We start from the raw sequence: 13,241 nt of genomic DNA, 5'->3' as shown, positions 1-13,241 counted from the left end.
AATGCAAAACATGTCACAGTCATTACCTGAGTTTCAACTATATGTACATCATCCATCAGCTCATCCATCCCGTCTAAAAGTCTTATCACCATAAATTACATTTGAAAACCTAAAGTAGACGTTATTCATCCCCATTATTATTGAACAACAGGGGACGCACATGTTTTTTAAATCAAAATACTCACTCTATATTCACTAATGCCTTCCAATATCTTATGGGATATTCAATTGGCAAATTAGTAATGAAGTTTTTCTAAAAGAAATGATGCCCTTAAAAAATAATTTCAACACAAGCCATTTTTGCAGAGGATAAGCATCTCAATAATGGTCTGATGATCCCTGCACAGCTGGGGGGCGAATCTCTGCCTTTCAGTCTATTCATTTTGACTCCTATGTGTGTTTGGAAATAAAGCATTATTATTCTACCCACTGAATTTATTAAAAATGCAGCTTTACAGATCTTTAAGTTACTTGTAAATCTTCTCCAAGGTTGTTTTCCATCTCTTCTCTTTTCAAGCTCTTTCCTTCCCTCTAGCAAGACCATGGTGCTTCTAAGACAGTAGCATCACCTCCATTGTCATTATGATTTTCATTTTCATCATCATCAATAAAAACAACACCTTATCAAATGGTTCTTCAGTATAGAACAGTGAAATAAGTGCTCTAAGGGATTTTTGATCTAGGTAGAAAGTTTAGCATATAACATGTTCACTTGAGGCTTGGAATTCTGCTAATAAATTTGGAGGAATATTTGTGTAGGACCTTCAAATATTGTCACCTCTATTAAATTTGGAAGACTTCTTCAAACCGATTTATTTCCCTACCATTCATCTTGTTTATCACACTGCTTATTATTGATGTGAACACTGAAGTATTTCAGCTGATATTGATATTTGCTTAATACATGTCCTCAAATGTTGAATATGCTTTCTGTTCAGAATTAGTATGTGTCCTGACTCCATGTGGGACATTAATGCCAATCTGATAGAATACCAAAAGGCAGTTGAGTGTTGTGCTCAATGGCAACTAGCACTGATGCCCTATTGAGATAAGCTATTTCCATAGGTTTATCATCTACCAAGTAAAACCTCTCAATCACTAAGTTAAAAAAGATTACCAGGCAAATAAACATTGTGTAAAATTTACAACATTTTAATATATAGAGATTTAAATAATATATTTATTCTGGTATTCAATGTATCTTTTGACTGGGATAAGTTTTCTTTTCCTAATTTCTCTGATTTCTTGCTATGCAATAATCCAGAACACAGGACATTTAAGTAATTTACCACACATAATCCCCAGATGAGGATTATTGATTTTGAACAAATGATTGAACACAAACTGTTTTATGAAAAATTTAAGTTAATTTTTGAAATTAATTTCATAGTTACTGGCATTTGTTTTAATTGCTCTATAGTTAAAATTAGCTAAGAAATATATATTAACTTCAGAAAGAAATAAAACAGTAAAAATAAGAAAACTGTTTTGAATAAAAAATTGCAACAAATCCCACTGCCAAGCCATTATTTCCTGAGTAATAATCCCAGAGAATTAAATATTCTCTGTTGATTTCCTAGTACGTGCAGTGGTAACAATAATCATAGTGAATCTATGTTGGTGTAACCAGACCCTGTTCTCAGAACTTCACGTGAAGGAATATGTCTCATTGTCATGGCATCATATGAGGCAGATTCAAGTATTATTCGATATAAATGAGGAATCCTACCACAGAGTTGTTAGTAATGCACTCAGGGTCACGGATGTACTAGTACTAAAATGGGTCTAAATCCAGGCTTTTATGGCCGGATGCGGTGGCTCACGCCTGTAATCCCAGCACTTTGGGAGGCCGAGGAGGGTGGATCACGAGGTCAGGAGACCAAGACCATCCTGGCTAACACGGTGAAACCCCGTCTCTACTAAATATACAAAAAATTAGCCGGCCGTAGTGGCGGGCGCCTATATTCCCAGCTACTCGGGAGGCTGAGGCAGGAGAATGTCGTGAACCCAGGGGGCGGAGCTTGCAGTGAGCCGAGATCGCGCTACTGCTCTCCAGCCCGGGCAACACAGGGAGACTCCTTCTCAAAAAAAAAAAAAAAAATCTGGGCATTTAATCACTTTACTAGCTTTTATGAATACACGAGCAATGTTAAACATCCACAGTTTTCACTCCCAGGTCCAAACTCCTGTTTTTGATTGAAGTCTATTTTAGGTAAATTACTTATTGTCACATGAAATATAACTTTTTCTAAAAATTATAATATTTAGAGCCTAATTTCATAGAATAGCTATATGTCATCTATTAAGTTTGTTTCAGAGAGTGTCCATGAATGTTATTCTTCTCAAGTTAGGCAGTCTTTCAGTCTTCACATGTATCACTTCTTGGCTGGATATGGCATTTCAACACCTTGAATCTTTCTTTTTTTTCATTTCTAATTTTTCACGATACAAGAGAGAAATCTGAAGCCAGCCTCAGCACAGAGACAGTTGACTTTTACCAAGTCCTTAAGGCAACTTTCCTATGAGGAATACAGAACCCTGTTGCAGAGACACGTTAGATTGAAACCAACTCAATCAGTGCTAATTTTGGGGGCTCGCAAAACTCATCCAATGAAATTCAGCAGACAAAGGATTTTAACTGAGTTCTCTTCATTATTCCTGGGGGCTCTGCCTTATGCCTGTAAGTGTTGTGTTTCATTATAAATGAGCCACATGAAAATTATTTTTTAAAGCATTAGGGTGTGTAGTTACATTGCTAAAAAAAAATCTTTAGGATTTTTTAAAACTGCCCTGATATTATTAAAATGAAAACTTTCAGGTGCATATAAAATTTCTATTGATTGTATATTAACACATATTCGAAAGAGCCATTACTTACCAAGTTTACACAGAAGATACTGAGCTTGGTAGGAGTTTCAGATTGAACCACAGGCAATTGTTTTGTTTGTTTGTTTGCCTGTTTTTTATCTTGTTTGTTTCCTGTAAGTAAAAAGTTGAAAGCTGATAATTTTCTATAGTTTAACCTGATAGGTTAAATGATTCTAAAGCAGCACAAATTAATTATTAGTAGAAGAACTTGAATTATATTTCCAAGTTGGCCCTATATTATTAATCGTCTCATTAAGAGAATATAGGACTGTCTTCTATTTGGAGCCATCACAGATTTTCATGTAATTGGGAATATATGGCATTTTGTTCTTTGAATATACATGTAAGATTCTATCTTCACCTTTTTGATCCCATTATTTCACTAGGGTATGTTTAGATCCTGTGACTTAATTTTACTTGGTATACATTTAAATCTTTCCATCCATAGGAGCAAGTCCTCTGTCAGTTAAATTATTAGTTCTTCTACCATATTTGTGATTACTTTTTCTGTTTCGTTTGGCTTATTCTCTTTGGGAGCACCAGTTTTCCCAAGATAACCTCCACTGGTATGCTTCATATTTGTCATCTTTCTTTTTTCTTTCACCTACCTCGCTGTTCTTCTCTTCTGTGATTAGAGTGTCCTCAAGCCTGTCTTCACATAATTTATTTGGTTTCTGCTATTTCAATTCTGATCGTGACTTCTCAATGCACCTTTTCTGTCTGCACTGTGATTATCTGCTTGGATTATGTGCTTGGATTCATCTTTCAAGTTAGCCACGCCCCTCATCATGAGCCTATTCTTTTATCATCCCATTATTCAGTACATTTTTTAAGAACAAAGCAATTGCTATCTACAAATATCTCTTCTTTTCTTGTTTTTGTTATCTGCAGTCATTTTAACTGTTTCACAGTATGATTTTTTCAAAATATTATGTCCAAAAAATTTTTTTTCTACTCTGTGTGGAGGCGGTGGAGAGTTGTAGTCTGGTTCTGGAATGCACTATGGTAAGTGGTCAAGTGTTTTGTTTTTTGTTTTCTTTGTAGAGGTGGGGGTCACCCTATATTGCTCAGGTTGTCTTGAACTCCTGGGCTCAAGTGATTCTCCCACCTCAGCCTCCCAATGTGCTGGGATTACAGGCATGAGCCACCATGCTTAGTCTCTGAGTTGCCAATTTGTAAAATATTTCAATACCTTTAAATTTCTGATTGTGGAGTCTCATCCTGGCTGAGCTATGGTTAAAATATCATCATAAAAAAGTCTCCTGTTAGTACAATCCCATGCTTTCCCACAGCTTATCTTCCACTAGGTTTCAGGTACTACTAATCAATACAGGCATGGGAAAGGTGGAGGAATCTATAGGGAAGAGGTTTTCTAAGGGGCAGACTCATGTCTCCCATTGTCTACTCATGCCGTCAGCCCTTATCACTAATTTTCATTACTAAGATTCACTTATAGAGGAATGGCCCTGTGTATGCCCTGCCATCTTCCTTTGATTTGGTCTCATCACATGACACACGCAAAGATTTAGATCTGGTGTTGGTAAACACCTGTCCCCACTCTCCACTCTTCTCTTTGGTGATTTAGGTAAGGCCTGAGAAAAGAGTGTGGAGGTTTACTCCTACTACTGCCTTCTCAAAACACCCAGGTATTTCTAACTTAAAAAAATGCCAAAGTCTATGGAGGAATTAAAGTCATTTTTTTTTCTTCTCAGAAAGGTGGAGATGGTTTAATAGCTATAACTCATCATACCAAGAAGTAGAAACTTTCTTAAATTTGGTTCATGTAACATAACAAAAAGCTGTCAACTTCTGTTAAAGGCAAACCTTTCCAGGAAAATTTTATACTCACCTGAAATTACTAACTTCATTTTCATGCTGCAGAGAGATACCAGGTTTTTAACTAGAAACCACATCTTCCAGATTACAGCATATGCTGCTGGGGCACTGGCAGGCTGGCTGGGAGGGTGACGTCTGTCACAGAAAGGAGCCCAGACTCTCACTTGGGCTGGACTCTTCTTTTCCGGTATCAACTGCTGTTCAATTGGATGCCATTTTATCCTTGTCCTTTAGAAAATGATTGTGCACTTTTCTCCTGTCTCAGAAACACCTATGAGATGATCTTGTTAATGCAATTCTCAATTTCACAATGTAATACAATATGGCTGGTGTGATGTTGTTCATGTTTTGGCTGAATATGCAACATTACCAGTTGAAAAAAATATAACTAGAAATTATTCTTCAAAAGAAGCTTTCTCAGCCTCTCTTAAAAACTGGCACAAATGCAGATCTGCCAAAATCCTGGGAGTTGGAAGGCTTGGCATTTTCTAAGCATTTGAGAAACAGAAAAACACTGAAATTGAGATGCAGTAACCACAAAAACAACAGCAGAAGGCACTAATAAGGCTAATGACTTATATTTAACTTGTTATGACTTGTGTAGCTGGATTTAATTGAACACATACTATATGCCTAGCTTCTACAGAGATAAGGATGGGATAGATTACTCAAGAATGCAGGAAATATAAATGATAATTTTTGTCTTCCAAAGCTTATGATACAGTTGGTGAAATAAAATATTTATTTGGATTAACTAGAAAATGATAAGCACTCCCTGGAAGTATGCTTTGTGCCTCAAAGCTTGGTAGACAAGCAATTCTGTTTGGAGATGATAAGCATGTTGCCAAGAAATAATTTGACTTATACAGTTAGCACTCAGCATCTCTTAAGTAAAATTGTATAATTTTTGTAAGTAATTATATATTGCCATGTTATATACTGCAAAAGATAATCAGACTATATAATATCTAAAATTATTATTATCATCATCATAGCATACTTTAAAGGAGATTATTGCATAGGTTGATTTATTCAGAAAGACATCATGAAAAAACTTGGATCTAAAGCCATGATAACCAAGTAAGATAATATCAAAGGCAAACTTATATGTTGGAACGAATGGAAGAGGAGATCAAAAGAGTAAATACAATCTCTTTCACTTACTTGCTGTTGTGTTGTTTCTGACCGACTTAGCTCTCTTCCATGACTCGGTTTCCTCATCTGTGATACAGTGACAATAATAATGCCCAAGCCTATTGTGTGAGACTTTCATGGGCATGTTCATGAAAATGCTTAGAAGTCACAAAAACAATTGGGAAACATTTCTTTAATCCATGTCATCAATCTGCAAGGCAAGTGTGTGTGGGAGAGGGGTGTGTTTGTGTCTGTACACACAGGCACCAAGGAGAGAATATACAACCGTAATAATGTATCAACAAGAACAGAGTCACCATTTTGGATTCAGTAGCATGAGTATTTCTCAAGAAAGACTTCTGATCTCTGGAACAAATGAGCAGACATGGGGACATTATGCAGAGAAGGGTCTGGTGGAGGAAAAGGGGATGGACTTTGAAGGTACAGATAAAATTGATCTCTGTGGTCCCTTTCTGTCTTATTTTGATATTCCTTTTTTTTTTCTCCTCATAATAAATTCCCTCACAATGACCTGGCCCCTCTTGAGCCTTGTCACTTCCCATGACCATATTCTGCTCCCTGGAGAGTATCATGTTGGTCTTCTGTCTTGCAGAGAGCTGTTAAGATGCTGCATTTCTTCTCCCGTGTTTCATGTGCTGGTAGCTTTCCTTAAGCTTGAAGAGTAAACTTTCCTTCATGGCACCACAGTTCAGGCACAGAGGTCAGCTAGGGTGTTGGCTATAAAGGGGTAGGGATGGTAGTGAGATTTGGAGAGACAGTGGGCATGTCTATGCCTTCCCAGTGTTTCTGACACCCATCTAGGCCTGTTTTGCTTTTTCTAAACTGCAGCCATCCTTTCTTTCAAGGAGATAGAGAGCCCTACAGAGAGAAATAAGAGGGAGGAGAACATTCAGGTTCTGTTGGCATAAAAAACCATAAACACCAATCTCTGCTGCCCCTGCAGGCCCTGAAGGCTCATGGAGCAAGGTGGCAGAAGAATTTTCTCAAACGTTTCCTTGCTCTTGTTTTCCTCTATGCCTATGGCTCTCAATTTATCTTCTCATTCCTTCCTGTCAAAAACTATTGTTTTTATTTCTTCACTGCATTGTCCTCTCTTTGTCCTAGGCTTTCAGTCTTGAATCTATGTAATTTTTTTTAATAGCTTGAGCTAATTGGGTTTTCCAGTATGTCTGGTACTTTGGTCTTTCTTTGGTATGCCTTTTCCTAGAATATTGAACAAGAGAGCCAGCATATGAAGTTATTTTAACCTGACTTGTATTCTGCAATGTAAAATTGTGCCATAATTGAAGTGGAATTACATATGGTGAGATTCAGTGGTAATGGTCAGATCATGTTAGTCTCCTGTGAGTGAGGGCTTCTCTAGGACTTGGGATGTAGAGAGCCTCTTTTCCTCTAAGACCAGATTAAAGATCCAATGCTAGGGGTGGAAACTGGGGGCTGGCAAATACCAGGAACAGAGGCAGGAGGCTGGCATAGAGTTTTTCCAGATTATCCTTTCCTTTTCTCTGGATATCCTTAGGGCTCTTTTCTCATTCACTTAGCTCTCTGTTTTTATGGCAGTATTCATGAATTGCTGTATTCCTCTGTCTCCACCCCACCCTCAACCCAGATGGCACCCTTTTTGAAGACAAGATATTTGACACTGAGATTTGTTACCCTCAGTGCACTTGGCACATAGTCTATCACACAACGGTTGAAACATTCTTTAAATGAATGAGTGAGTTACAGCAATTCTACTGCAAAGTTAGGCATAAATGCAAGATGAAGGGACATAGCTCAAGCATCAGGGTCATATGTATTGCCTCATCTCCTGGAATACTTTATTCTCTATTACTTATAACACAGAATCAGCAGTTTATTTCAGTTTAAGAAACACTTATCATGACAAGTACTCCAGTAGGTTACAAAGAAACAAAAGAAAACAAAATATGTTGCTTTTCCAGAAGGCAGTTATACTGTACATGGTACTACAAAAAAGGAATTGCACAAAATGATAGAATATAACGCATGAAATAAGAGAAACTTATGAAGTGTCTTGAGTAACACAGAAGATGTGTGGTCTATCTCTGGAGACTGGTCAGAGAAGAGGGACTCCCAGAATCAAATTTTTAAGAATGAACATGAATTTTCCAAGTCTAAGAATGAAAAAAGAAATGTGTTATATGTTAACCAATAGGAACTGTGTGTGTGCCTGTATATGAGTGTGTGTATGTCCATGTACAAATGTGTGTGCATGACTATATTTGAGTGAGATGTGTGTATGTGTGTTCATGCAAGTGCATAGCTGTTTGTGAATGTATGTGCATCTGTGAGTGTACATGTTAGTATATGAATGTGTGTAAAAGTACATGTGTATAACATGCATGTTCATGTATGACATTGTGGGGAAAGTATTTGTAGTGGTAGAGTGGTGATTGTACTAGTTGGTAGATAGCCTGCAGGGTTGGAAAGTTTCTCAGCCATAGCTCTCACTTGTAGAAGTGGTCTGAAGAGGCCGTCACCTAAGAGGTTAGATTAAACTAAGAGTTGATATTAAACTAAGAGGTGAGATTAAACTGGAAGTCAGGAAGCACGGATGTTAGCTCTAAATCTCCTGCATAACCTTGGTGACCTTGGAAAAGACTCCCTGGGCCTTGTATTCCAATATGCTTGATAAAGGTATATGGTTAAATAATGGCAAGCTGATGGCTGAAGTTCTTTTGTAATGTAATTTCTGTGATTTTCCCAAAATCAAAACTCTCTAAGATGCTGTTCTCCTCCTGACATAGATACTGCCTGTGACCTTTAATTTTATGTGACAACTTGACTGGCCTAAGGGATACCTAGGTAGCTAATAAAATATTATTTCTGGATATGTCTGTGAGGAGGTTTCCAGAAGAAATTAGCATTTGAATTAAGTAGGCTGAGATCTTTCTCTTAAGAATGTGGGGGCCAGGCGTCGTGTCTCACTCCTGTAATCCCAGCAATTTGGGAGACTGAGGCAGACAGATCAATGAGCTAAGGAGATTGACACCATCCTGACTAACAGAGTGAAACCCCGTCTCTACTAAAAATACAAAAAATTAGCCAGGTGTGATCGTGGGCGCCTGTAGTCCCAGCTACTTGGGAGGCTGGGGCAGGAGAATCGCTTGAACCCAGGATCAAGTGGTGCGAGCCAAGATCGCACCACTGCACTCCAGCCTGGGTGACAGAGCAAGACTCCATCAAAAAAAAAAAAAAAAGAATGTGGATGGGCATCACCCAATTCATCAGGACCTAAACAGAACAAAAAGGCACAGGAAAGGTGACTTTGTTCCCTTTTCTTGAGCTAGGACATCCATCTTTACCTTCCCTCACACATCAGCACTCATGGACCAGGGGCCTATGAACTGGAACAGAACTTACATTATTGGCTTCCCTTGTTCTCAGGCCTTCCAACTTAGGCTGAATTACACTACCAGATTTTCTGGGTCTCCAGCTTGCAGACAAGAGATCATAGAAATTCTCAGCCCCTATAATCATGAAGGCCAATTTCTATTGTGTGTGCATTGGCCGGTGGGGGTGGGGTGTCCTATTGGTTCTGTCTCTTGGGAGAATTCTGACTAATGCACTGGCTATTTCACAAAAATTTTATAGAAAGAACAATAATTGTTATTTTAAAATTCAGGCTAGAATAGCAAGAACAAAAGATAAACAGTTTTTGAAAAAAACTGTAGCCATTACCACATTCTCCAAGTGGGTGTAGTATTTATCTTTGGGAAAAGATAGTGCTTTTTTTTTCTGAAAAAGAAATACTTTACTGGGGCTGGGTCTTCATAATACGACTGATAATAGTTAAAGAAATATTATGCTTAGTATGTGCTGGGTAGAGATCCAGGTGCTTTCCATGGCCAACTTGTGTGGCAACATTATAAGTATAATGAATGTAATCTTCATGGTGACAGAGAAGCTAAGTCACATTCTAGTAAATATGACAGCCAGGATTTAAACCTGGGTAGCAACTCTGTAGTGACTCTGCTCCTAACCATTTGGCTATTCTGTGCTGTGCTAGGAGCATGAGATAGTGAACGATAAAGGTCAAGGGTTGTCTTCTTTGTGTAATTCTTTGATGCTTTCCGATTTGGGAATTTTCCCAATGGATTTTAAAGCATATAGCAAAGAGATGCTGAGAAAGGTGTTGAACAACTTGATGGTAGGTGGATTTTGAGGATAACCCAGCTTTCAAGAGTGCTCAGACATCCAGGAGTCACCAGGAGTAGTGTTTCAGAGGGCGACATACAGGGGAAGTTCAGCTGTGCCTGGGTTCTTGGGATATCCAGGAAATGAAACCCACTGCCTGTATACATATAAAATAATATCTTAGATTATGCCTCTTCAATATTAATGAAAAAGAAGGCCTCAGATACTTGAAATCTGAGGACTCAAATATTACATTGAACTTTATTTACTGTATATAAAAATAACATCCCAGGTCTTTCAAAAGAGCAAGAATAGTGCTCCTTGTTAACCAGAAACCTGATCTGAAACACAGCCTCTACTTGGCTCTGAACCTGGTGAGTATAACTCTTCTTACCTACAAACTTTAGCTTGTCCTGGCCATGCTTGTTTGTCTGGCTAAATGCATATGCCATCTGTCTTAGACCTGGTGACTTTCCTTTATTAAAATGATCTGTCTATAACTGTCCTTTCTACTACCTTGTAATGCATTTGAGGAAAGAGCTGTCTGGGCCACCTTTACAGCTCTAGCATTCATATTGTGACTGGCACCTGACAGTAAATATCAATGCAATGTTAATCATCACGAACTGCAGGGAAATTACATTTATGTTTGCAAATACCCCTGAGGGGTAATTCTACAAAGGTGACACAAAGTGAAAATAATTATCTAAGAATCAGAGTAATTTGCATGCTTTCTGGCTGGTAATCTAAGTATACCAAATCTACTGTAATCTTGATGTCTTCCAAGGGAATAAGACATGGAATTATACAATTTTGGAGCTCAATGGGTCCTTACAGTTAATTTGATCTTTTACTTGACAGGTGATGAAACTGATCTGGAGCACTTAAGTGAGATGTCTGTTAACTTTGGCATGACAGAGTCAGATTCTGAATCCAAATCATCTATGTCCTAGCCAATGCCTGACTCACAAGTTCACACAGAAAGATAATTGTGCCTCTTTCACCCTTCATCCTCAATTATAGCATTGTGGATTACTACAAAAAACACAGTTCCACCTCCGTGACTCCCATTTTTCTTCCATCATGTTGCAATGCTCCTCTTCCCTACTTCACAATCAAAAATTCAGGCCACTGCTGAGACTATCCTGTGTTAGAAATAGGCAGTGGCTGTGCATTTAAACAAAGGTCTTTCCAGAATTCTCATTTGGTTCCTGGTTGCTTGGCAAGGCCATCTCTCTTTCTCTTAGTCAGTATCACTCAGCCCATTGACTGGTGTAGGCTCTCATAAACTTCCACTGAGCACCTACCATCATCAAAACAAGGCTGAATTTTTGGGCAATGCTTTAAATGTTCCGAACCTCAATATCCTCATCAATAAAGTAACAGTAATACTTTCCTTACTTTTTTCACAGGTTATGTTCTGGTGACAGTCACAGGACATAAATGACATACTTGGATTTGAAAATTAAAAGGAAAAAGTCCATGTTGTTTTCAATGCTCTTCTTGTTTATACAGTATCTTCTCTGAAATTTAGGTTTCTGAAGTCCAGACTAATACTGAAGTTCCCTTTGGGGTTGATATAGAGACCAACACCCACCTCTATGTGCCTCAGTGAAGACCTAAGTGGCTGGACCAGGCCACTGGGTTAATATTAGGTTGGTGCAAATGTAACTGTGGTTTTTGCAATTACTTTTAATGGCAAAAACCGCCATTACATTTGCACCAACCTGATACTACCCAGAACTAGAGACCTCTTGGCCAAGGTGCAGCCCACACTCCATAGTCCAAGCTGTCATGATAAATCCCACATGGAGATAACAAAGGTAGTTTGACTAGAAAAGCATCTATAATTCCCTATCATTGCTGGAGAAATCTTGAAGAGAAAAATGAAAGAATAAAATAAACCAAAAATGGATTTTTATGAAAACAGAATTGATTAAGTATTCTTCCAAGAGGCTGGATTGTACTTTTTCTTCTTCATAGTAAAATTGTTATATTTCATGTGGATAAGGGAAGAAAATAATTAACTCAAAAATAACTAGGATTTGGAGCATTCTGGAAGCCAGATCCTCAGAAAAATGCTTGAGGGATTGCAGGCATTTAATTTGGAAAACAGAAGTCTTGAGGGACCATGGATATCATCTTCAAATAATTTAAGGGATTTAAAAATGAAAAAAAAAATGTCAATGTTGTTCTAGAATCCAGGACACAGGACTGGTGCAGATACTCGTTTGAGCAGTCTCTCTTGCCTGGCTCCGCTGGCCCAAAGACACAGAACAGGATGTCACCAAAGATGTGCAGAGTCAGCAAAGTAAATGTTACAGAAAGACTGAGATTTGTTTCAATAGACAGGAGAACAAAGGCTTTAGAGGCAAGCAAACCTGAGTTTGAATATCTTTCTCTCACTTAATAGCTGTGTGCCCTTGAGAACATTACTCTAGCACTTTTCAGTTCTCACTCTCAAAATGGGGATAATACTCATTATTCCAGATTGCGAAGATTAAACACAATGATATATATATAAGCTCTTTGCTAAGTTTGACACAAATAGGTACCTATGAAAGGGTAACTGTTATGTTCATCATCTTTCAAGTCATTCAGTGCAAATACAATTGTGTCCTTTGTACTAATGAGAAAACTGGTCTTGGAGCCTGAGTAAATTTTCTATGGTCACACAGGTAGTAAATGATGGGATGGGAACACACATTTTCACCTGTCTGGTGATGGAATCCTGCCCTCTCCAGGATCCCAAGCTGCATCTCGGCTAAGGAAATACTTTCATTAACAAATAAGTCAAAACATTGTGTCTTACTCTCTTGGCCAGACAGGACACACATGTCCTTGTCTCTCTACCCAGAATGATGGAAAGGACACCTCCAGGATGGCTTTTTCAGGACTTCTGGAAGATTGCATCATCAAGTAAGTCCTAGACAGTTCTATATTCAATTAAGTGGATGCATTTTTATTTCATCTAAGGAACCACCCCTTTATAGAAGACTCACACATGATGTATCTGACCTGAAATCATTACCATAAGCTCGTGACTCAGTGTTAACTCTCATTGTGGAGCCACAAACCAGGATTTGATGATTACACCTTTTTCTTTTTTACTAAATTCAATGCGGGGATATTTAAAAGCCTTGCTTCAAAGGGCATCTGAAAAATCTTTAGCTACCCAGTTCAGGACCATCAATCTACCTGCTCCCTCCCTAGTCCCCCGAAAA

The sequence above is a fragment of the Homo sapiens genome, chromosome 18, assembly GCF_000001405.40.
Source record: "Homo sapiens chromosome 18, GRCh38.p14 Primary Assembly".
NCBI classification, from domain to species: Eukaryota; Metazoa; Chordata; class Mammalia; order Primates; family Hominidae; genus Homo; species Homo sapiens.
Note: the sequence above shows the minus strand (reverse complement) of the source record.